The 26423-nt window shown below is 42.6% G+C and overlaps 1 protein-coding gene across 5 annotated transcripts in view, besides 2 other annotated features; it reads left to right on the forward strand.

Moving 5' to 3' along the window:
• The window catches only part of CRADD (CARD and death domain containing adaptor protein), a 217466-nt gene that overhangs the window by 159961 nt on the left and 31082 nt on the right, over window positions 1–26423 (forward strand). For 2 of the 5 annotated variants that reach the window (NM_003805.5, NM_001320099.2), the window contains exon 3: window positions 12635–13421. The exons of 1 other annotated variant lie outside the window; for it this stretch is intronic. In NM_003805.5, the coding sequence (NP_003796.1) occupies window positions 12635–12936 (302 nt within the window). In that variant the 3' untranslated portion in view covers window positions 12937–13421. Of the gene's footprint in view, window positions 1–12634; window positions 13422–21983; window positions 22108–22204; window positions 22402–26423 lie in introns of those variants that run through there. 2 more of the 5 variants (XM_047429805.1, NR_135147.2) reach the window with 2 other exon arrangements.
• Window positions 10659–10708: a silencer, noted in NCBI's record as "silent region_4718". NCBI's record gives its function as "represses an Ori minimal core promoter by ATAC-STARR-seq in GM12878 lymphoblastoid cells {active_cell/tissue: GM12878}" and the evidence as "EXISTENCE:reporter gene assay evidence [ECO:0000049][PMID:35858748]".
• Window positions 11625–11724: an enhancer, noted in NCBI's record as "active region_6773". NCBI's record gives its function as "activates an Ori minimal core promoter by ATAC-STARR-seq in GM12878 lymphoblastoid cells {active_cell/tissue: GM12878}" and the evidence as "EXISTENCE:reporter gene assay evidence [ECO:0000049][PMID:35858748]".

Consider the following 26423-nt stretch of genomic DNA (forward strand, 5'->3'; position numbering starts at 1 on the left):
CTGCACACTGCAACCTCCACCTCCTGAGATCAAGCAATTCTCCTGCCTCAACCTCACGGGTAGCTGGGATTACAGACGTGCATCACCACGCCCAGCTAATTTTTGTATTTTTAATAGAGACAGGTTTTCACCATGTTGGCCAGGTTGGTCTCAAACTCCCGACCTCAGGTGATCCACCCGCCTCGGCCTCCCAAAGTGCTGGGATTACAGGCATGAGCCACCGGGCGGTTTCCATGTGTGATCTTTAAAAGGCAGAAACAAATAAGCAAAAATCATTACTAAAGGCCCACGAGGGTTGTTTCTATCTTAGAAAATGTGTAAAGAAAAGTGATACAACAATAAATGGTTTGATTTAATGAGAAGTCAAAAATCATAAGATCTGTTGAAAATAACAAAATCACTTCTAAAAAAGATAATATGTTTTATTGAAATAAAGCCTTAGAAGTCATCTGGTTTTACCTTTTACAAAGAAGAAAGCAGTCTAAGAGAGGCCAAATGACTTATCCCAAGCTATACGGCTAGGTAGTAGCAGATTCAAATTTATACTACCCAGGCTTCCTAATTCTTAGCCCAGAGCTGTGTCCACCCTACCACCCACCTTTTAATTCAGTGCGAGCTCAATTATTGCTAACAGTTTTATTGTTGACCTTCCATGGACTCGATAGTCAAATCAAGTCTTCCATTACAATAAATGGGATTTATTTGTATTTTGCAACATAACCTTGTTCTTTGGAGTGGGTTTCACTTAATCATCCTGGAAATCGGTTTTAGAAAGACTAAACATGATTTCTCCATCTCTCTGTGAGGACCAAATTGTTCTCTGTGATTATCTATCAGAACAAGCAGAACAAGGGGTTCTAATTAGTTTTCCTTTTGAGGTTTTTTTTTTTTTTTTTTTCTTTTTCCAGGCAGTCAGTCTCTCAGCCAAAGGGATTTTTCTGCAGAGCCTTTGTACTCAGGGACCAGGGTTAATTCATGAGTCCTGGGAGGTGGCTGATCAGGTTAGTTTTTCCAGCCTGGAACAGCCCCGCCCTACCCCTGACCTCCTCCACTCCACCACTCTACTCACTCCACTCACTCCACTCACATTAGCTACAGAGAAACTGGATGTTGTCAGCCCCAGGGGTACCGTGAGACAGCTGGGTTCAGAGTGACTCTTGACCTTCCCTCTCTCACTCTCTCCCTCCCTCCTTCCTTCCCTTCCTCCCTTGCTTCTCTCTTTCTCTCTCTTTTTTTTTTTTTTCCTTTGCGCTCATCAGTTTATGGTCTACTTCACTAATTGGTCTGTGAAAAGCTTCTTCCTTTTCCATTCATATACTCACTCTTGTTCCCCCTCCCTCTCATAGATAAGGATAACTATTCTGACTGATATGTATTCCTTTATTTGTGTGTGTTTTTGTAAGTGGTGTTTTGGACATACATTCTTTTTTGTTTTTTGAGACAGAGTCTGGCTCTTTCACCCAAGCTGAAGTTCGATCAGTGACACAATCAGGGTTCACTGCAGCCTTGACCTCCCTGGCTCAGGTGATCTTCCCACCTCAGCCTCCCCACCGAGCACCTGGGACTACAGGTGTGCACCACCACACCTGGCTAATTTTTTGTATTAATTTTTTTTTTTGTAGAGATGGAGTTTTGCCACATTTCCCAGGCTAGCCTTGAACTCCTGAGCTCAAACGATCCACCCGCCTCGACCTCCCAAAGTGTTGGGATTACAGGCGTGATCCATGGGTGCCCGGCCTGGACATATATTCTTAATTTGCATTTGTATAGACCTGATTCTTTTCCTTACATTTTTTGCTCTCCACTGCATTTAGTCCATCCCCTCTAACTCTGCCAGTATTCCCTATGTGCTGTTTTGTATTTCTATATCTCTTCCCCCAGCAATGAGCTTTTAGATTGCTTCCAACTCCTTTCTTCCGACAGTATTACCTCATATAAACAACCTCATAGTGACCCCTCATGGATCTGTGTAGGAATTTTCCTGAGATGGAGATATCTATACCTATATCTATATCTCCCAAAAGAGGGTTTCTGGATTATAAGATATACGTGTATTTGCTAGCACAAATAACGAAGCTTTACACAAACAACCTAATACATGTCCCTTACAGGTCTTTTTTAGAACTTTTCTTGGGTACGTCTAACAGAACAAGATTGGAAAGTACATTCAATTTTACCCACACTGCCAACTTGCTGGCCAGTACGACTGTCCGATCTTTATTTCCATTGGCGGTGAACAACGTTCTCTACATCACGTCCCAGCCTAAGCTTGGTATTGTCTAGATTTCTATACATATAAAGTGCTTTATCATTGTTGTTTACATTTGTTTCTTAAATTTCTGCATTTGAGCATCTCTTTATGTGCTCGCTTTTGTGTTTCCTCTAATTCGAATCACCTGTTCATACCTTTGTTCTGTTTCCTGTGGAGGTTCTTACCTTTGCTGTTGGTTTTCAGAAACACCTTACCCAGCCTAGATAGTGTTTCCCTTATTGGTCTTAGACATTAGCCTTGGTCTTAGACATCAGCTTGGATCACGTCTCCTTCATTGAGCAGAAATCCGTAATTTTGATATAAAAAATTTACCTTTGGGAGATTAATTTTAAAAACCACTTCTGACCACAGGCCATAAAGATACTCCTGCCTTATTTTCCATGAACTTTATAGTTTTACCTTTTACCTTTGGGACTTTATCTCCATGGGATCCACCACTGTTCATGGTGTGATGCTCTAGGCCAGTTTTCTTTTCCTCTGTAATTAGCTAGTTCTCCTCAGTTTGGGGAAAGCCTCTTCTTTCCCCATTATGGAATTTTAATTGTCACAATAGGAATTGGCATCTTTATATTATAACAATGTCATCCCATCTAGCACAACAGGGACTCTCCTTTTAGTCAGATCTTGCTTTATGTCTTTTAATAAAGGCTTAAAATTTTCCCCATGAAGGTCTTATACAGTCTTTATTAACTTCATAGATCCTTTATCCTTCTCATTGCTTATTGTATTTTTATTATGTTTTGTATTTGATTATTGTAAGAGTGTTGAAATGCTGCTTTGTAGTTTTTTGCTTTAAGTTGATCTTGTATCTGGCAATTTTGCTCAGTCCTCTTACTCTAATAGATTATCTGCTAATCCTGATATTTTTCTATGTATTAGGTCATATTGTCTGAAAATAATGTTAGTTTTATCTCTTCCCTAGAAATGCTTATTATTTATAACTAACTAATTTCTTTTTTTTTTTTCTTCTTTTTTTGAGATGGAGTTTCACTCTTGTTGCCCAGGCTGGAGTGCAATGGCTCAATCTCGGCTCACCACAACCTCTGCTTCCTGGGTCCAAGCGATTCTCCAGCCTCAGCCTCCCGAGTAGCTGGGATTACAGGCATGTGCCACCACGCCTGGCTAATTTTGTAATTTTAGTGGAGACGGGGGTTTCTCCATGTTGGTCAGGCTGGTCTCGAACTCCCGACCTAAGGTGATCTGCCTGCCTCGGCCTCCCAAAACTAATTTCTTTTCTTTATAGCACTGGTCAGGACGTCCAATACTGTATTCCACAGTATTGGATCTTATACAGTCCAGACAAGTGTGCATCCTTGTCTTTTTAAAGAGAATACATTTAAAGTTTCTTCACCAAATCAAATGCTTTTACAATCTTAACCAAATTAAGAAAGTTTCCCATATTTTGAATTTTTAAAGAAATATTTTTTTCAAATTATAGTTATGTGTCAAACTTTATCAAATTTTTTTCTGCATCTATTAAGATAATAATGACTTTCCTCTTTGGTGGATTGATATATTGAGTTAAGTGGTAGATTTTATGATGTTGAAATTTATTGCAAACGTAGGATACATTCTACTTGTTCATGATATGTTACTTTCAATTTTTTGATTCAATTACTTAATATTTTATTTATAATTTTTGCTTCTAAAATCGTAACTGAAACAAGCCTATAATTTTTCCTCTTCTTGTATTCTTACCCTGTTTGGAATAAAAACTGTAGTATCCTCATAAAATCAGCTAGATAGCTTTTGTCCTTTTTTGATTTTCTGGAACAACTTACATATGATAGGAAATTAAGTGTTTCATGAGCTTTTTCTTTTTCCCCCTTTAACTTGTCCAAGGTCCACAGGATCCATGAACATTTGATGGAGCTTACCTGTAAAGCCATCTGGGCCTAGGGCTCTTTGTCAAGGGAGGGCTTTGTTTGCTATTTCAGTGTATTTCATACTTTGGTCTGTTCAAGTTTCTGTTTTTTCCTGCACCAATATCCAACACTTCTGAGTGTTTAGAGGTCATTGTTCAGCAAACTTTCACTCCTCCTACCCCGTGGGAAGATTTAATTCCCTTTCCTGTTGGTGTTGGGCTTGGCCACATATCTTGCTTTGATCAATGGAGCATTAGTGGACTTGACATGGGCAGAGGACTTAAATGTCCTCACAGCAGGATTTAGCCCTGTCTTCTAAAAAGCGGCTGTGCTGGAACGGGACAGTCTCTTCGCTCAGCTTTTTTTTCTAGTCCCGCACACCTGCAGCATATGACACTTACATCAGTAACAGTGGTTCACTGCAGCCGTGAGCTGGGGTGACTGGTATATTACCAGACCCTCCGGAGGAATGTATATAGTTTTTAAAAGTGCTACCCCATGACCAACCCAGTCACCGTCGTAAATAAAAAAAAATACCTGCTTACAACATCTCCTCTCATATCACAAAATAACTGAAGTTGAGAAAGGAATTTCATAGTTAAAAAACTTTTTTGACTCTTCCAGCAGCTATTTGTGTGTCTGCTGCACCTCTTCTTAGCCGTTGGTCTTCAGCTTCTCAACTGTGCTTTTGAACCCTGGAGAGTTCCCATTCTCAGATTACCTGTAAGGTGATCACATCATTGAATGCAAGGTGAAAACAGGAGGTTGACCAGACAGGACCCTGGGCCTGTGGACTGTCCTTCACTCACAGAACCCACATCCAACCAGTTATTCCAGTGAAAGCAATAAGGAATAGGTAGGAAGTACTGCTGCACAGAGATTCGTTAGAAGACATGGCTTTTTTTCTGGAACAGATGAAGTCAAACAGACAGCTAGTGGAGATGGTGAGTCGGGAACTTGACTTGGAGGGCTTTTTTGCTTTAAGATGATCATCAGCTCCTGGAAAGGTGTACGTTGAGTTCCCTTTTGTGCTAGGCAAAGGGCTAAAGACTGAGGGGAAGGAGGTCACAGAAGTAGAAGAGCTGGTCTCTGCCCATAAGGAGCTTCGGAGTCAGCAATGTCATATACAAAACCTGGAAAAATTATGTGAGAAACTTTCACAAAATGCAATAGGGATTAGAGAGGAGATTTTTAGTTTTGAGGCCAAAACAGTGATTGATAGGCATGGCTGAGGGAGGAGGAGGTAGCTGGAGAAGGAGGGAGAATGCTATGTTGTTTTCATTCACGTAGTGACCACAGAAATGAGGGATGGAGGGGCGAGAGAATAAGTTAAGTCAGGGCGGGGGTGGGGGAGAGTAGGGGGAGGTGTTTCCATTTTCCTTTAAGTGGATCCTTGGCTTCATTGCAGTAAATGGGGTTGTCAGTATATATTGCCCCTTTTGAAACCGACGAGTTTCACTGAGAATGGGATTAAAAGATTGCATGAAAAATTTAGGATCTGTATAAGGGAGAACATTTTATACAGCCCTGTATGAGGGCCGTCTAAAAGGAGTTAAATTCCCATTTGGGATTTTTTAAACCAGGATGAACATTCTATACCACAATGTCTGGTGGTTTTAACCAGAGATAGTACTGCCTCACCCCAGGGTATGTGAACATGTGTGTTTGTGGTAAGGTAGGGGTATCACTAGCAATTAGAAGGTGCAAGCCAGGGATGCTGATGACCCCGTCATGTACTGGAGAAGCTCTGTACAGCACATTGCCTGCCTAGAATGCTAAGGGCACACTTGTGGAGAAATAATGCACTTCCTAAGCTTCAGTCATTTGGGGTCCCCTTGTTTAATTTTTGCGGTATCTAGGTACCATTTCTACCACTAATTTAATGCTTTTTTTCTTTTTTGTCTTTTTATTCTTTTTTTTTTTTTTTTGAGACAGTCTTGCTCTGTTGTCCAGGTTGGAGTGCAGTGGCGTGATCTCGCTCACTGCAACCTCCGCCTCCCAGAGTCAAACAATTCTCCTGCCTTAGCCTCCCAAGTAGCTGGGAATACAGGTGCCCGCCACCAAGCCCAGCTAATTTTTGTATTTTTAGCAGAGATGAAGTTTCAGCATGTATGCCAGGCTGGTCTCGAACTCCTGAGCTCCAGTCATCTGCCTGCCTCAGCCTCCCAAAGGGCTGGGATTACAGGCGTGAGCCACCGTGCCCAGCCTAATTTAATGCTTTTCTTTAAATTTATTTTTATTTATGTATTTATTTATTTATTTATTTGAGAGGGAGTCTCTCTCTGTTGCCCAGGCTGGAGTGCAGTGATGCGATCTCAGCTCACTGCAACCTCTGCCTCCCGAGTTCAAGTGGTCCTCCTGCCACAGCCTCCCAAGTAGCTGGAATTACAGGCGTACACCACCATACCTGGCTAATTTTTTTGTATGTTAGTAGAGACGAGGTTTCACCATCTTGGCCAGGCTGGTCTGGAACTCCTGACCTCAAGTGATTCACCCACCTTGTCTTCCCAAAGTGCTGGGATTACAGACATGAGCCACCGCACCTGGCCCTTTAAATTTATTTTTAACTGACTTTTAAGTTTTTAGTTGTCATTCTATATCTGCATTTTAATTTACTTATTGTGATCCTTGCAATCATGAGTTTGAAATGCTATTGATATTTTTCTAATCATATTAAAATAGATGACTATTGCAATACAGAATGTTCATCTTGCACTCCGCTAGTGGCATGCATGCTAGCTTTGAGAAGTAGTAGCCAGATGGTCGCAGTGGATTAATTTATGGCTTGACCTGATTTTATGTAGTATATCCTTGAGAGTTGACATCCTTGGGACTCTCATTTTTAAGTAACCTTGTGTTCAGCAGAATTCACGAACTGAACGGGTCTCATGAGGATACTGTCCCTGATAGAGGTCAGACAGCACAAACAGCTGTGATTGCCTCTCTATATGTGCAAAGATGTCCATTTGGAAAGGCTTGATCTGCTTGGTGGGGTGGTGCTTATGTGCCAATTACCTTTGCTCCGGCCTGTGTCCACAGACTGCTGGCCATCTCCCAGTTATGTGGCCCTATTTACAAGGGCTAAGTGACCCTGAAAGTGTGGAAGAATCAGAGCAAACTCTGTCCTTACTTCCAAATAATTGGCTCGAAGCATATGTTGCATTCATGTTGGCCAAGAATGAGAGAGAAGGATGACAGAGTATAGCAGAAACACAGACACTCCCTTCCCAACACCCAACCAACAGAACGAAAATGCAGTTAGAAACAAAATCAAACCCAGCCCCACAGGCTCTTGCAGCAAGCAAACAAACAAAAAACAATTACAGCTTTATTTCAACCACTTTGAAAAGTGGCAGGCAAGGAAGGGTGCACCCCACCGTAGCCCCTCAGAAGCAGTACTGGAAAAGGAAGGCGAGAGGACCAGTTCCTGAGGGTTCCTCCTAATACAGATCAATATGGGAAGCAGCTGGTTGAGGAGGTGAGTGGATAGACTTGGTAAAAGTTAAAAAAACAAAAAACAAAAAACAAAACCCTTGGCAGAGTTAGGAAGGCACCTGGGGAGGCCATCTCCTAGTCTCTGTGTTGAGTTACAGGAAAGAGACCATAGGAGTGAGTCTGCCCTGGTTTGGCAGAGTGGGCCCTGGTCTAAGACATTTAACTCCCCTCCAAAAGAGGACAGAGTATAGAGCCCCCAAGGACAGGCCTCATGACTCCTGCCTCTCCTCCATGGCAGAAGTGTTCATGGAAAGCAGCAGCCAACCTAAAGTTGTAGCTCAGAGGTAGAACGACACCTGGTTCCCTATAAAGTGAGGAGAGTGTCAAAAGATACATCAGCTTGCTCTGGGAGAGCAAAGAGCAGTTCTGGACAGAGATGTTCACGTTATAAGTATGAACAAGATGGCAGTGAGTGTCATGACTGTTCTGTGAAATGCTGCAGCAGAGGAATGCAAGAGAGGAGCACAGCTTGTTGGCTGAGCACAGTGGTTCACACCTGTAATCCCAAAACTTTGGGAGGCTGGGTCACGAGGATCAGTTGAGGCCAGGAGTTTGAGACCAGCCTGGGCAACACAGCAAGACCCTGTCTCTATTAAATATATATATATATATTTTTAATAAAGAAAAGAAAGGAACACAGCTTGCAAAAATAAACATACAACCAATCTGGTCTATAAGAAAACCCAGTCCTAGAAAACTCAACCTCACAAGTATTTTATGCTATAGAAAGACTCAGCATCAATTGAGTAGAAACAAAAACTCAAGATGTCATCATGATAAAACAACAATGGGATTCTTTTAATTTTTATTTTTAATTGTGGTAAAATGTACATAACATAGAATTTGCCATTGTAACCATTTTTAAATGTACAATTCAGTTGTGTTAAGTACCTTCACATTGTTTTATAACCAATCTCCAAAAGTCTTCATCTTTCAAAACTGGAACTCTGTACCCATTAAACAATAATTCCCCATTTCTCCCTCCCCCACCCCCTGGCAACCAGCATTCTGCTTTCTGTATCTGAATTCGACAACTCCAAGTACCTCATATGAATAGAATCAGAAAGTATTTGTCCTTTTGTGACTGGCTTATTTTACTTAGTGTAATGTCCTCAAGATTCATCCATGTTGGATCATGTGTCAGAATTTCCATCCTTTTTAAGGCTGAATAATATTCTATTGTATGTCTCTGACATTTTGCGTATCCATTCATCCAGTGGATACTCAGTTTGCTTCCACCTTTGGCTATTGTGAATAACGCTGCTATGAACATAGGTGTACGAATTTCTCTTTGAGTCCCTGCATTCAATTCTTTTGAGTATATACCCAGAAGTGGGATTGCTGGATCATATGCTAATTCTATTTTTAAATTTTTGAGGAACTGCCATACTGTTTTCCACAGCACCTGCACCATTTTCCATTCCCACCAATAGTGCACAAGGGTTCCAATTTCTCCACACCCTTGCCAACATTTGGGACTTACTGTTTTTTGTTTTGTTTTGTTTTGTTTTGATAGTAGCTCTCCTAATGAGTGTGAAGTGGAATGGATTTTTTAAAAGATAGAGCCAAGAAAAGAAATAAAGAACAAAAACACAATACAACGTTAAAACCAGAACACACACACACACACACACACACACACACACACACACACACACGATGGACATAGCTGAAAATCAAAGAGTGAGATAATCCCAAGGAGGGGATTAAAGCAATAAGGACAATATAACAGCCATGGAGGAGAGGCACAGCCATCCAGCATATGGAGCAAGAAAAGAATGCAACCATGTGACCCAGGAAGATTTTCCCAAAAGGAAGAAACAACTGAATCTTTGGTTAGAAGGTTATGCCAGCCAGGCACAGTGGCTCACGCCTGTAGTCCCAGCACTCTGGGAGGCTGAGGCAGGCGGATCACAAGGTCAGGAGATCGAGACCATCCTGGCTAACACAGTGAAACCCCATCTCTACTAAAAATACAAAAAAAAATTAGCCAGGCATGGTAGTAGGCACCTGTAGTCCCAGCTGCTCCGGAGACTGAGGCAGAAGAATGGCATGAACCCAGGAGGCAGAGCTTGCAGTGAGCTGAGATCACGCCACTGCACTCCAGCCTGGATGACAGAGCGAGACTCCGTCTCAGAAAAAAAGAAGGTTATGCCACATATCTGAAAGTGCAGATGTAGAATGGATAACATATACCCTGGTCTAAAGTTTCAGTATTTAGACCTCAGACAGGAAAAGCAAGTTACACAAAATACTGGATGACTAAGTTGGTATCAGAATTCTCCACATCAGCAACCCCTACCATAAAGTACGAACAAGGTCTACAAACTTTTAAGGGAAATAACATTATTTAAATAATATAATTTAAAATTATGAATATAATTTTATATTATACTGTTAAGAATATAAAAAGATAAAAATAATATAAAATTGTTCTCTAAATATTAAGTTATTATTCCAGTGAAGGCAATAAGCAGGATGCCTTGACCTGAAAGAAGTCAAGAGACTATGGCAGTCATGAGCATTGCTTGAAAAAAAAAAAAAAAAAAAAAAACCTCCCTGTGATGAAATTGACCCAAATGACTCAAATCAGAAGAACAGACCCAGGAGTAGAAAAGCCACAGATGAAGAACAGTAACAACAGCAACAACAACAAAACACTGGTGAGCATTCAACCATTACAATGCCACCTTAGGACTAAACAATGGGGCAAGGGGGCATGGATGATTGTTAAAGAAATGTATAACTATTAGGCATCTGGCAAAATAAAAATTATGTAAGTGAAAAAAAATCAAGTGTGAGGAAGTGGAGAGGAAATGTAAAGTAATTATAGAGTATTTCTATAAAAACATGCAGTTAACCCTTGAGTTTTCGTAACTTTTTTCTGTGCATTAAATTGTGTGTGTGTATGTTTTCAAGTATGTTAACTTGTAACCGCTGGTCAGAATGTCATTTTGTTTCACTTCTGCTTTTTCTTCTGTTACATCCAAACAAAATTACATAGCTCTTACTGGAAAGAAAAGGTCATATGTTATCATTTTAAATGAACCCATTACCCTCTATCTAGCCTTCTACCAGTGTATGTGCATACAGAGATATCCAGAATGATGGTCACCAACTGTAAACACAATAGCGGGATATTGGATGATTTCTTTTCTTCTTTGCGCTGTTTTCTGTTGCTTTATTTTTTTTTTAATGAGCCTATGTTTTTATACAAGCCGTAAAATCATTGCTGTTAATCTCAACTATTGATCAGTAGTGTCATCAGTATTCTAATTGCGTCATAGTCATTGTTTTTTAAATTGTAGTGTTGACAAACACCAGAAAGAGCCCTTGACAATATTTTTGCAACTCATCTCTAAGGTGCTGGCCGCTGCCCAGAGGCCAAAGACATGGGCTGTGGAAAACATCAGCTCTTGTAATAAGGTGCCTTTGCCTTCTTATTGAATCATAAATCAAAACACAATAGTGGACTGATGAGCATGAAGTAGACTGACCTGAATCCCTGTGATGCTGATGGATGGGAGTATAGTGTACTGTGCTGTCAAACAAATGTCTGAACCTAGCAAATGACTTTGGATGTTTGGAGTCCGTCTCAATCTCTGCACTTGGCTGCTGTGAGTGCCTTTCACTTCCTCCATTGCGATTCTCCTGCCTCTGGGCCTTTGCACATGCAATTCTCTCTTCTCGAGATGCGCCACGCCCTGTTCCTCCTTCATCACCCAGCTCCTCCTCCTAGTGTTCAGGGCTTAGCTTTAGCCTCCTTCCCCTGGAAGGCCTTCCCTAATGAAGTTAGGAGCTCCTCTGTATAACCAAAGGCACTGCTCACTGGTTTTGCTGGGCACATTTATAACCATTCACTCAATGTCATGCTTCTTAGCAGACTGGCCTCAGGCAAATAAGAATCTAGTTCAGGAAGTGTAAGGTCAGATTTCCTCGTTGCCCCGTCTCATACTTCCTGTTCCTCTTCTGGGCTCTGCCAGAACGGTAACTCCACTCTTGTGGCCTCTGCTATGAACAAACCCCGCTCTCTTCCCTTCCTGCTACCCTATGGCCTCTTAGGTTTATTTTGTTCTCAGCAGCCCTCTTGGCTCTGGCTTCTGTTAGCAGCTACACGTTTTCTCGGTAATATTTCAAGTTCAACCTCATCGGCGAGGGTAGCTGTTTGGTTTAGCCTTTGTCCTCTAGCACGTGCCTTTCCTGCAGGGAGGGGCATTCCCAGCCTTGGAACAGGCCCCATCACTAAGGCCACAGACAGTGCCAGAGGGAGCTGGGGTCTGTGCAGCCATTCTTGAATTCCCCCAGAATGCCTTGCCTGGCCTTGAGTAAAAGGGATAGAAGTGAAAAAAGCCTGTTACAAAGCAGCATGTACGAGGTAACCCTTCATGTGTGTTTTATATATCAAAGAAAATAGACTAGTTATTATCAATGAGTTTTTCTGGTGGGATTTCTAGTTATTTTTATTTTGTTGCTTTCAAAGTTTCTGTAACAGGCAGGGTGCTGTGGCTCACGCCTGTAATCCTAGCACTTTGGGAGGCCAAGGCAGGTGGATCACCTGAGGTCAGGAGTTCAAGACCAGCCTGGCCAACATGGTGAAACCCTGTCTCTGCTAAAAATACAAAAATTAGCTGGGCATGGTGGCAGTTGCCTGTAATCCCAGCTACTTGGGAGGCTGAAACAGGAGAATCACTTCAACCCAGGAGGTGGAGTTTGTAGTGAGCCAACATCATGCCATTGCTCTCCAGCCTGGGTGACAGAGTGAAACACCGTCTCAAAAAAAAAAAAAAAAAAAGTTTCTGTAAAAACATTTTCACAGATACTTAACAGCATTGAAGCCCTGAATCATGGCGTTGTACAGAGCAGCCCCCAGGAAGAAGACAAGAGCCAATTGGCTCTGCCATTTGGAAGCATTGCCTTCTTCTCCCCACGATTCTCATTTCTGCCCCCAAATGATGTGTTTGTTGCCTTGCTCATTTCACCGGGGTGTCTTTTTCCTCCTCAGGTGACAGATTGACTGGGATCCCCTCGCACATCCTCAACAGCTCCCCATCAGACCGGCAGATTAACCAGCTGGCCCAGAGGCTGGGCCCTGAGTGGGAGCCCATGGTGCTGTCTCTGGGACTGTCCCAGACGGATATCTACCGCTGTAAGGCCAACCACCCCCACAACGTGCAGTCGCAGGTGGTGGAGGCCTTCATCCGTTGGCGGCAGCGCTTCGGGAAGCAGGCCACCTTCCAGAGCCTGCACAACGGGCTGCGGGCTGTGGAGGTGGACCCCTCGCTGCTCCTGCACATGTTGGAGTGATGGTGCCTCCAGCAACCGCTGGGGAGTGTGTCCCTGAGTCATGTGGGCTGAATCCTGACTTTCACTCAGAGCAGGTGGTTTTTTGTGTAGGTTTGTTTTTTATTTTTGATGATCTTCAGATGGAAGGAGAAAACAGGGTTTCCACTAGACATTACTTGAAAGGCCAGATTACTCAGCAGATCTCCCATGTTGGCTCAACAATTCTTTGTTTTTAATTGCTTGAAGATTGCATTGTTGTAATTGTTCAGTTTTTAAATGTGTAATGGCATTTTAATAGACTAGTAAATCACAGTGGTTCAAAATATATATCCATATATATATATATCCATATATATATCTCATGTCATCACATTACAGGCAGGTGTCTCATATGTAAAACATTTACCTGAATGTTGTCTGAGGACTGAACTGTGGACTTTACTATTCATAATGATAAAATAATAAAATGCGAATTACTATATATAATGTGCCTCACTCATGAGAAAGTACCGTGTTGGGTTTTTTTTTTTCTTTCTCATTCCTGTGTTGCATAGATTAAGGGTGTAAAATTACAATAGTCTTTTTTTTCTTTTTGGAACAGAATTAATAGTAACAGTGAAATGGTTACTTTCCCAAGTCAGGATAAATAGCTCAGGCAGGATGTCTGTATTAAATATTGTAAGACACTAAAGCTCCCTGCAAAGACCAGTTCAAGGACCAGCATGCATACCCGAGCCCTTCATCTTTAAAAGATCGCTCGAGAAAATCCTGTGCTGTTTATTGAAAGCATTAAGTCAGGGGACGAGAGGGGGTGTGGTCTTTCCATTGAAGCCAGAATGACTGAAGTGTTGTGCTCCTAAGGAGTATGATTTAGTCTTCTGTCCTTTTATCAATAGCACATGGTGTTTATAGAATGCTTTACTGTTTTCACGGCTTTTCCTGTATGTGATCTCATTTGGACCTCTCAGCAATGCTGTGGGGCAGTGGGCAAGGTGGTTCACCTCCTTCTGTACAGAGATTGAGTGATTGGCCCAGGGTGAATGAGGTTGGGTGCCGGCTCCTGAGCCTTTCCAACTGCTCCACAGGGCTCCTCCCCTTCTCTCTTGCATGCTCATTGAAGAAGCTTGAATCCTGCTCCCCGCCTACTAGGTGTATGGCCTTGGACAAGTTACTTACCCTCTCTACACCTCAGTTTCCTCATTGGCAGAATGGGGAAATGATTGTACTCACCTCTGAGGTCTTTGTGATGATTAAAGCAATAATGTCCGCCAACAGCACATCCAGATGCAGCTCATTGTCAGCTTTCAGGAAATGGTAGCTGTTAATTTGCCGCCACTGTGGCTGAAGGTATGGTTAGACCACAGGCAAAGCTGAATAGTGGCTGAAAGCTGAGGGCACTGTGGGAGGAGCTACTATTGCCACATTTCTTACTAAGCTTTAAAATGGGATTTGATTTTATAAACTTTACAATGGGGCCAGTCTGTGATCTATCCTTCTTAATAATTACGGAATCTGTTTCCTAATTCTAACATAACTCAGGATTTTTCAAAAGGGAGAAAAAAATCATGTTTTTTATTTCTCTCCATTCCAAGAATAAATTTATGGAATGGTAGAATTGAGCACGAAGTGGGTACTTAAAAAGATGACAATAGTGTGTGGATAACATCCTTTCAGGCATCTTGTAACCATATTCCTGTTACTAAAAAAGAGCTGCTATGCCACAGTTTATTCTTCCAGTGAATTCGGTTCAAAAGGATAGTCTACTGGCCTTATCAGTTCAAATTTTTCATTTTGTAGCCCAGCCAATAATTCATTATCTTATAAAATTCTCATGCTTTTGGCCATATCACTGTGCCCAGTGATAGACTGTACTGCTGTGGCATCTTCAGTGAATCACTTGTCATTTTGAACCTGGGACTTATTACATTGCTGTCTTCCCCCTGGGTTTCCTAATAGAGAGTTGCTTTGGCTTTTGTTCTCACAGCTCAGAGTCACATTCATGGATGAGTGAGTAGAGCTGGGCTCTGCTGCGTCTGACTAGATGGCATTTTAGAAGCAGGTCTGATGATTAGCTGGGTCATCTTTCCGCCATTCACCATTTGCAAGGAATCTGTCACGCATAAAGACACTCGTGGGCTCTGTCAGCAGTGAGAGACAATTAGTGAAGAACAAGCCCACGATGGGCCAGACAGACAGGGCCGAGGGGGCCCTTAGAGACCTCTGACTTGTTGCCCTTCACAAGCAGAGTGTCTTCACCACCAAATGGCGGCAGCCCCTCCCTGGCCTGCTCACGTGCTTGCAGAAGATTTGCAGAGTGGAAGAACAGAGCAGCTGAATCCCTATCTTGGTACTACCTCTGGCCATGAAGAATAATGCTACATAGCAGCTGCCTACCTCCTAACAGAACTGGGGAGGTGAAGAGCCTGCAGGGATTTCCTGTGTTTGTATGGGAGAAGATTCTACAATTTCAGAGACTGTTTATCCCCAAGAAAACTGAATGAATGCAGCGAGGTGGCAAGAGCATTTGCCGGCACTGACAGAAAGTATATGAATATATAGTCTTGCACCACTTTGGGTTGGGTTGGAGTGTGTGTGTGTGTGTGTGTGTGTGTGTGCATATGCATGCATGAGTGTGGCCCTTCATGTTTTTAAAACTATAACTTTTATTAATTTTTTCAACATGAAGTACATGTTTATTATGGCAGTTTGAAAAAAAACACAATAAGATGAAGAAAAATAAGAATTACCCCTACTCCCATCTAAGCACTGTACATCCCAATTTTTATCCCTGTCCTCCAATTAGTTTTCTCTGCCTGCATATCCTTTTCATAAAAAGAATAGGATTTTCTCTGCATTTCCTTATAAAAAGTGTTATATTTTCCAACTGATAATACACTTATTTTTTTTTGTCGATGTGGGACTATTTAGAGAGACTAAACTGTGTAATTAAAATGATGCATCTTTTTAATATTCCTCAATGGCATACTCCAAATGATCTTTATATTCATGGCTTAAAATTAACTAAATTAAGTTTTCAATTTTATTACAAGAATGGGATTATATTGTACCTGCTGCTTTACAAGTGGCATCTTTTATATAACATCAAACTGTCTTTCTGTGTCATTATTTCTCTGTGCCAATGATTTCAATATCCTTTGTGTTCACAACACACTTTCGAGTCCTATAATTTTTGTGGCATGTTTGAAGAGATAAAAGGACACTTAGCTACTAAAAAGATGACAATAAGTATAGCAATGTCTTTCACTCTCAAAACCATTGTCCCACTTTTTGCTCCATCCCCGTTTGGAACCATGTTCCAAGCAGTAGAGCTGTTTACGGCTCCCCTCTATGCACTCTTATATCCTCAAAAAGCAAAGTTTAGCACAGTCTGGGCTTTATTCTGAGATTTTATCTCTTCCTAACAGCAAGATGGCCTCTACACTGCCTGATGATCCAATCAGCTTCGTGTTCCATTTCCACAAGAGTACGTGTTCTGGGAGGGCAAATGAATTTTACCTGTTGATCCAAATGTGATGGCACGCTTATGAAGGGTTGATAGTCTACGTGTTGCCACTATTCGCTGCCGTCATTTTCAATGATGCACAGCTTTCCAGTGTGTGGATGCGCCGTCATGTCTTAACCACTTCCCTGCGTGGATCTTTAGGTCGGTTTTGCCTTTTCATTGTTATAAACAGTGATGCAAGGAAGGGAGTGTTTGTGGTTAAATCTTTACATTCATCATATGTTACAATGAACTGGATCCCTGGTTTGTTTAGCGCCAAACATATTTTAATTTTGTTCTCAATTAGCTTTTTTATATAGCAAACTACCCCCAAGATGTAATGGCTTAAAACAACAAATGTATTGGCTTAAAATTTAGCCCACAATTCTGTGAGCTGGCTGGGCTTGCTCTTCCGATCTGGGCCAGCTCAGCTGATTTCTGCTGGGCTCTCTCGTGTATCTGTGGTCAGCTGGTGGGTTGGCTGAGGCAGGATGCTCTAGGGCGGCCTCACTCATGTGTCTGGAAAGTAGTAGGCTATTTCCTGGGGCAATGGGTCGTTTGTGTCTAGGTCACACGCCTTTTATCTGTCAGGTTACCCTGCCTTCTTTACTTGGTAGTAGTGGCAGGGGTTCCCCAGACAGCAAGAAGGCAAGCCGCCATGTGGAAACACCTTTCAAGCCTCTGTTTGCATCCCTTTTGCTGACATTTCTGGCCAAAGCCAGTCATGTGCCAGCTCAGAGTCAGTGCGGGAGGGCTCTACCAAAAGGCATGGAGAGAGGAGCGGAATAATTTGGGTCCGTTTCGTGCAATCCACCACAGCCAATATTTTTAAATTGAGATTTCTGGGCCCTATTGAAAAACAATCTTTGGCTACTCTGGATCCCTGTCCTTGAATCACAGTAACAGGCAAGCCTTTCCTAGCATGCCATGGTCCTTCCCATCCCCCACCCCACAGAATGCACATCCTTTGCCCAGCTCCTTCCACCTGCTCACTACCTGCTCAGCCACATACGTTTATGGCCTCCAGACATACAGCCATGATGATGCTTAGCATAATCTCCTAGAAGTGGAATCGCCGGGCTTAAAGTATTAATAACATATTTTTAAAAACTATTTTGACTTTTTAATACTTTTTAAAAACTTTTAAAAAATATTTTAGGGATGGATGTGGTGGCTCACGCCTATAATCCCAGCGCTTTGGGAGGCTGAGGCGGGCGGATCACTTGAGCTCCAGGAGTTCGAGACCAGCCTGGGGAACATTGTGAAACCCCGTCTCTACTAAAAATATAAAAATTAACCAGATGTGATGGCCAGTGCCTGTAATTTCAGCTACTCGGGAGGCTGAGGCAGGAGAATTGCTTGAACCCAGGAGATGGAGGTTGCAGCGAGCCAAGATCGCGCCACTTCACTCGAGTCTCGGAGACAGCAAAACTCCGTCTTAAAAAAAAAATTAACTTCCGTGGCCCACTGTGAAAGTTGCTGTTGGACACACAGACACACACACACACAGGCCTGAGGCAGCAGGATGAATCTGTCTTCATCCCTTTCTCTGGGGAGTTCTCCAGGTGTGGCAGCTTTGGACAGAGCCTCACCTCATTCAGCTATTCAGCAAACTCTCAAGCAGAGGCTACTGCACACCAGTCACTCCGCTAAGCAGGGAGGCGAAAAGATTACTAATAAATACACAGTTCCTCTTCTCCAGGAACTCACTGTTTGACCAATGAGACAGACATGAAGCTCTAATTACAACACAATGCAATCAGGCCTGCGCCTGAGTATCGAGTCTATGGGAATGCAGAGGAGAAATGATCCATTTGCCTGGCTTCTTGGGAAGTGAGAGGTATGGGAAATAATAACACTGTATCTAAGGCTCTGTCACTTGGGCAAGTTACTCCACCTCTGGGTGCCAGTTTCCCCACATGTAAAATGCAAACAAATAACAGTACCCACCTATGGTCACAGTGAGGATTCCATGAGATGAAAGGTATAACATGCTTAGAACAGTGCCTGGCAAAGATGTTTTGTTAAACCATTGAGTTGAATTCTTTTGGCTATCAGAGTTTTTCTTTTTCTTTTTCTTTTTTGAGACGGAGTCTTGCTCTGTCGCCAGGCTGGAGTGCTGTGGCATGATCTTGGCTCACTGCAATCTCCACCTCCCTGGTTCAAGCGATTCTCCTGCCTCAGCCTCCCGACTACAGGTGGGTGCCACCACGCCCAGCTAATTTTTGCATTTGTAGTAGAGACGGGGTTTCGCCATACTGGCCAGGATGGTCTCAATCTCTTGACCTCGTGATCCACCTGCCTCAGCCTCCCAAAGTGCTGGGATTACAGGCGTGAGCCACTGCGCCCGGCCCAGTTTTTCTAATCTTCTTCACCCTCCCAGGGCTCTGAGAAGTGTGAGGGTAGAATCACCTCCTGCAGATGTTTGTGGTATAGAAATAGAAACTGCATAGTCCCTCAATATCTTTATCAGGACTCTAAAGATAAGTGGCTATGAACTGTGGCACACTTCAGAGCATACTCAGAGTTGGGGTGGATTCTGATCTAACAGTTGTCTACCATTAAATGAATAACTACAGTCTTTGAGCAAATTCTTGCTGATTACAAAACACTATGCAAGTTACCAGAGATACAAAGATGAATAAGCCATAGTCTCTGCTCTCAGGATCTCAGCCTGCTGGGGAGACAGCTATAACCACCAGCAACTATGGCAAGCACAGAGGGAGCAATTAAGTTGGCCACAGAGGAGGTAATACTTCAACTGAGCTTTTGTAAGTCCTGCCCAAGTTAGCATGTTGGTCTCTTTGGGAGGCCTTAATGTGTATGGGCAGCAGAATCCCATTTAATTTATTTTACATCCAGTTTGACAAATGGCTCTCCTTGCCATGGATATGCAAGATAAATATGCCTCCAAAATGTGATCTCAGAGCAATTTAGAAACTAAGTGGCAAATATCCTATACATCAAGATGACAGTGACATTGAGAAACATGTGGTTTGTTAATCCACAGTGGGATCAAGATCAGGCTTCAAGTTTTAGGTATTAGGCATATTTTGGGGTTCTTTTTTATGACATCCCTATCCCTTTTCCTCTAAAACTCCCACATATTCAAATTAGATGTTGCTGGCATACAGGGGAAGTTTTTAAATGTAATAACTGCCTGTTTACTTCTTGGAACTATAAACAAAGCTTAGAAGAACAGGGATGTCTATCTTGTTGGCATTTAGTGTTCTTACAGGAAAATTAAAGTCTCACAAAGACACAGTTCAGTGAGCCAATTAAGCCTTGTCTATTAAACTTATGCAAAATATATGGCAATAATTCTGATAGCTATTGTTAATTCAAAGCATAGGCTATGAAATCCAGGTTTGAGCACTTAAAAAGTAAAAAAAAAAAAACCCAACATCTTGGCAATACTCATAATGTTTCCATTTCATTTTCATATTCTATCTCTAAGCAGGGCTGTTTTTGATGTCAAATTACATTCTTAATGGAGAATATTTGGAGGAAATATAAAACGGATTGGATTTGATCAAGTAGTTACTAGTCTTTCTTCTGGTGACGTATAACCTCCTACTTGTCAGCTTCTAGAAGATGAATCAATTTTGTGAGGACTTGGCCAATATCAAGGTCTTCAGCACGACTCATCAGCCTGTTGCTAATTCAAGGACAACAAATGCCTACAAATGCTTTAAGTAAGCCCAGTTACAGACTGCTGATGAATTTGGTGCTCCTGGTGTGTGCCCTGGCCAAGAATGAGGGTGTCTGTCTAGGAATATTTCTTTGAATATAAATAGTAGGTAGTGGTTTATCTTTGTCCATTTAGTGTTGCTACATGGGAATACCTGAGGCTGGGTAATTTATAAAGACAAAGGGTTTATTTGGCTCACGATTCTGCTGACTAAAGACTGGGCATGTGGTGGAAGCCTTGGGCTACTTCCACTTATGACGGAAGAAGGCAAAGGGGAGCTCCCTGTTCGGAGATCACATGGCAAGAGGGGGAGCAAGAGCTTGTAGACAAGTGATGTATGACAGTCTCCATCTTCCAGGGACTTCTGCCTCCACATCATCTCTTTACAACCAGAGCCCCCAGACAGAGGAGGACTGAGTCTTTTGTGGCTAGCACATTGGAGATAGTTGATTTAATGGACAAATTATATAAAGTGACATTTATTTTTTATGCTGGGAAATTACTTCCAACAATATATTTTTGTCCAACCATCTGCTTGAATCAAGTTTCTGTCAGCCTCTGGAAGTAATAATTATTCCCTGCTCTGAAACTGAGCTTCATGCTGGTTTTCTGCTGAGGGAGCAGACCCTTTGGCTGTCTGTTATCTATTGTCAAGAGCTCTTTTGTCACTCATTATTGTCAGCTGCTGATTTCCCAACAGACACTTTAAGGCTATAAATAAACCCTCCCAACACAAATCCCCTCCTTATGAAAGTGTGAAAGACAAAATACACCAGTAAATTAGGATATGATTTTTATTCAGGCTGTTGCCATAGGAGGACATTCATTAGTAAGAAATATCTCAAAGAAAAGAATGAGCCTGGCTTTTATGGAGACAAAGAGAGTCTTATGGGAGCATGACGAAGGACGGAGGTGGGTCTTACTTCAGAGTATGCAAAGCCTGTGTGGTCCTTGGCAATTAGCCAGTTCCTACAACCCAAAAGGGCAGAAGATTTCTTAACATCTCTACTTTTTAGAGTACAAGACTTAGATTAAGTTCAACATTGTCAGTCCTCCCTTTTGTTGAAAATGAACATCATTGCCACTGTTGGGACTCAGAAAACAATACCCCAAAATGAAAGCCTCCAAAGCAGCCTCAGAAGCAAAGTCTCTCTCTGACCTTCTGCTGCCCGCTCTGTCTCTCACCCCTCATTCTCCCCGGAGATAAGCCATAGAAACTGTAATCCCTCTTCCCCAAGATGGGTCATAGAAACTAGAACTCCTTTTCCCCAAAGCCAGCCATAAAACCTAGAAATATTATTCTAACCTTCCACCATTCTTCTGTGTAACACTTGGCCATTAAGAAACTAAGACCCTCATCCCAGAGGGGTCCTACCCCATACCTGGGAGGAAGGAATGCTGCATGGAGAGGCCAAGAAGGATCTGAACAGCCAGGCCTTGTAGGTTTCCCCACGCAGTCTATTTCCATTAGATCATAGCCTTTTTTGTCCAATCACATTTCCACATGACTGTCCCTGCTTCATCAAACCTAAGCATAAAATCAGAGAGCTTCTCCTGAGTCTCTGGGTCTTCGTTCTGAAGGCTCACCTGTCATGTAAAACTATGATCAAATAGGCTGTTCATTGTTTGAAGCAATAAAGTGCAAATGAAACCTGTCTTTACATGCACAGTGGGGCATATGCTTCCATAAATGCCTGATTGTGTGTGCAGATGAGTGTTTAACACACCCAGTTACCTGTTTGCTATATTTATATTTTTAGGGTTAATGTAAGTGCTTTCATTTTTTAAAATGAAATTGTTTTAAATTGTTTTTTAAAAAGCTATAATCAAATACATTTGTTACTTTTTTTCTGGTTAACTTGTCTTTTGTTATAGGGTGTTGGCCATGATCCTTATGATGGGGAGGAAGGGAATCACCAATTTTCTACCCCATCCCACTGAGCAACTTAGAGATGACCTAAGGCCTCGTTACCTGTGTGGAGTAACTGGGAATTGGAAGGTGAGGTCCAATTATATCCAAGTCTTGGCATCAAACTGTGAAAGACAAAATGCACTGGACAATTAAGGATATGATTTTATTCATGCCCTTGCAATAGGGAGAACATTTATTAATGAAGAATAACTCAAAGGAAAGGAAGGGGTCCTGGTCTCCCATGAATCCTCATGGGAGCCTTGAGGAAGGATGAAGGTGGGTCTTATCACAGAATATTCCAGGGCTGGGTTGTCCTTTGTGGGGATGGCTGTTTCTTTTGAAACACAAAAGGGTGGGAGATTTCTTTGTCTCTCTCTTTTTTTTTAAGAGACAGGGTCTCACTCTGTCTCCCCAGCTGGAGTGCAGTGGTGTAATCACGGCTCACTGCAACCTCAGCCTCTCGGGCTCTAGTGATCTACCTCAGCCTCTCAAGTAGCTGAGACTACAGAACTACAGGCGCACCACCCCGACCAGCTAATTTTTTTTTTTTTTTATATAGAGATGGGGTCTCCCCGTGTTGCCCAGGCTGATCTCGAGCTCCTGGGCTCAAGCCATCCTCCTGCCTTGGTCTCCCATAGTACTGGTATTACAGACATTGGCCACTGTATTTGGCTCATGTAGGGGGTTTGTTAACCATCACTGCTTTTAGGGAACAAAAGCCTTGGAGGAAGTTTAACAGTGTGAAAATTCTTCAACTTTTAAGAGGCCAACGCAAATTTGAAAAAAAAAAAAGTTTTTATAAGGTTTAGGTATAAGATATCAGAATTCTGACATCTTAACTGTTTGCTTGTTCAATAAGAGGTACTTAAGCTAACTCCATATTTAATTTGAGTAAAGAAAAACAAATGGCCTGTCTGACCAAAGCTAAACAACAGGAAAGGAAACACAGCTCCTTTTACTTTCCTAGAGAATCATGGACCAATTTTCAATTTGGACCAATCATGGAACCTTTTTCTGTAGCTTATAGAAATTCATTCAAAGTGTACTTTTTGAGCACCTGCCATGTGCCAGGCATGAATATAGGTGGTAGGGATATAGCAGTCAATGTGACAGTCTGTAATTTCTCCCCTTGAGCCCCTTGCTATGGAGAAAGAGAATGCAGCAAAGGGCAGGAAGAGCCAGGCAAAGGAGTAGTACTGTTGCCAAAAGGTCAGCCAGAGAAGACCCCCACAAGAAGGTGACAGGAGTAAAAACCCGAGGGAGGGAGCCGTGCTGAGGCCTGAAAGAACATTTTGGGCAGAGGGAACAGTAAAATGGGAAAACCCTGAGATGGGAACTGTTAAAATAATTAATCAGGAGGACATTTACATGAGTCACCTTCAGCACCTTTGGTTGCTACCTAAGCAAATGGAAAACCAACTCAATGTAAACAGTAAAATGAAACCAGCGTAACCAATCAGAAACTGCCAGCTAACTTCTAACTAGAGACTTTACCAATCAGAAACTGACCTCTCACCAGGGACTTTCTGCTTTAACCAAATATTTTCTTTGTCTTGCTTCCATGAGCACCTTATAAAAGCCCCCTCCTCTCCTCCCCTCGGAGCGCCAGGCTGCTTGTGGTCTGGTGCTGCCCGATTCCTGAATCATTTAAAGCTCAAATAAACTCATGACATTTTAATATGCATACATTTATCTTTTAACAGAACTTGGCCAAGATTTTCAAAGAACGGCGAGGAGTTCAGAGTCTCTAGAGTGCCGTTGTAAAGAGGGGAAGGGTAGTGGCTGAGGCCTGAGAGCTGAGGGAGCAGAGGCTGCAGGGTGGTACAGACAACTGTGATGACTTTGGATGTTACTCAGGTTGAGGCAGGAAAGTACTGACATGATGGCTTTGAGCAGAGGTGGGACACCATCTAACATATTTTCAAAGGATTACCCTAGCTTGTGTGATAAGAGGATTGAAGCAGGCAGACCAGTGAGGAGCTGTTGCACTGCTCTTGAGAAGAGAGGGGCTCCAATCAAGATGGCCATAGTGAAGTGTGGTGGAGGATGCTTAGGTCTCCTTCAGGAATTAAACATTTATTCCTCCAGCAGCCAGGAAGCTCCAGCTAATGGCCTTTGGCTGTCAGCCCTCTTCAAGTATTGCCTCTGCTAAAGACAGTTGTCTTGCCCAGTGACACTTCCCCTGCCTGGAGGCTTGTTAGTGAGGGCTACAAAGGCCTGGCCCTGCACCTCAACTCAGGACAACTCCTAAGGGTCACCCCAGTTCAGAGCTCCTCAAGGAGTCCGCTCAGGCCTTCCTTGTGACTACGTCACAGCCCAGCTTCTTCCTTTCCACAGGCATTGATTCCAAGAGTACCCCCTAATAAACTCCCCACCCACTCAGCTCCATCCCAGACTCAGCCTCCAGGGGAACATAGCTTGTGCATTGAGGTGGTGAGCAGTGGTCAGGTTCTGAATATATTTTATTTCATTTTCTTTCTTTTTTGAAGACAGGGTGATATGGTTTGGCTGTGTCCCGACCCAAATCTCACCTTGAATTGTAATAATCCCCAGGTGTCGAGGGCAAGGCCAGGTAGAGATCCCTGAATCATGGGGTCGGTTTCCCCCATACTTTTCTCGTGGTAGTGAGTAAGTTTCATGAGATCTGATGGTTGCATTAATGGGAGTTCTCCTGCACAAGCTCTCTTACCTGCCACCATGTAAGAGAACCTTTGTTTCTCCTTTGCCTTCCACCATGCCTTTGTGAGGCCTCCTCAGCCATGTGGAACTGTGAGTACATTAAACCTCTTTCCTTCTCCACAGAGAATCTAAGTGGTCTTACAAAGGAACAAAGCTAGCCATCAGCACGTCCACCAGGAAATGTTTCCAGCAGTATTTTTTTCTACAAGGCCCATGGTGCAATAATAGACTCCCATGAGAAGTTGAAAATAGGCAAACTGCTTACAAACTACCTTTATCATACACCCCGAGGATAATTCCAAGGCAACATTGAAGTAATCAAAGCGACATGACACCACCTTGTATAGATACAGTTTCACAGTAGAAAGAAAGTTCGCTGTAGGGAATAGGAGTTAAGGAGATGAATCTTGAGCTGGGGCTTGACGGGAGTGTGGAGTAAGTGGAAAGCCTGGGAAAGGTGTGCTAGAGGAAGGGGAAGGTGAGAGAGGGCCCAGAAGTGAAGATGGTTAGGATGCCTAGGAGGAGCCTTTGTTGTGAGTCTGCCTCTCATGAAAATTACATCTGTTAAGTAAGGTGGGGTGAGTCAGCTAATTTTTAAAACCAGGCCAAGAGTTTGGGTTTCACCCTTTAGACTACCAAGAAAACAAAAGAAATCTCAACACTTTTAAAGTGCCAGTGTGAACTGTGAATCTCCAAATCAGAAATGTGTGGTATTTCCCAAACTTATTTGACATTGAAAACCTCTCTTCCATGACACCACCTATTAACATCTTTGGAAAGATTTATCCCACAGACACATTGAGGTAGAGAACACTCAACCTTGGGGTGTAATGGGAAAACTAGTGGGTCAAAGGAGCCAGTAATAACCAAGATTTTTAAAAAGGTATGAACAGTATCTTGAGTGGTATGCAAAAAACATTGATTTATTCTCCTCCTCCAACAATTCATGTTTACTGTTAGCAGCATATTATGGGGCACATGGAAAGAGACCCGTGGTTTTCTGGAACCTTCTTTTCCTTCTTTAATGATTAATAAATCTGTCACATTTTTTATTATATGACTTGTATCCTTGCAAAATATCCCCTGGCTTGATATCATGCTGCATTTCTGTTCAAGCAGTGGTTGTATTGCCTGTTCCTCAAGAGGCAGTGGGCATTGTCTCTGGTCGTTGTCAGATGCCAGGTGGCACCTGTAAGACAAGCAGGAAGGAACTGGTCTTGCCCTATAACAGCAGCCCCGAGCCAGGAAAGTTCTGTCTATAGCCCCAGGCCTCTGCGGTCTGTCCCCACGCTTGCCAGGACTTCTCATCCCTTTGCTATCTTCTCATTTCGGTTCTCATTTGCTTACTGTGGTGCCTCCCCAACTAAGCTGCTTGGTAATTGAACTTGAGTTTTATCTTCCCTTCATTCTACTTCAAAAATACCCGAACGTAGCTTGTTTGTTTTTCCAGTGGGGCATCTGACAAGTCTTTAGCTTCTGTTTAGCAATAGTTCCCAGTCAGAGGTGATACTAAATCCCCCCAGGCCTCTACTATGTGGCCTTTGAAAATGTGTGGAGGCATTTGTGTGTGTGTGTGTGTGTGTGTGTGTGTGTGTGTGTGTGTGTGTGTGAAGCTGTCATCATACATTGGCGGGGGTTAGGGTTAGCATTACTGCCATGTGATGGGCAGGGGCTGGGGATAATCCTACAGAATGAAGAGTTGCCCCACCCAAAATACCAGTAAC

Source organism: Homo sapiens, chromosome 12 (genome assembly GCF_000001405.40).
Source record: "Homo sapiens chromosome 12, GRCh38.p14 Primary Assembly".
Lineage (NCBI taxonomy): Eukaryota > Metazoa > Chordata > Mammalia > Primates > Hominidae > Homo > Homo sapiens.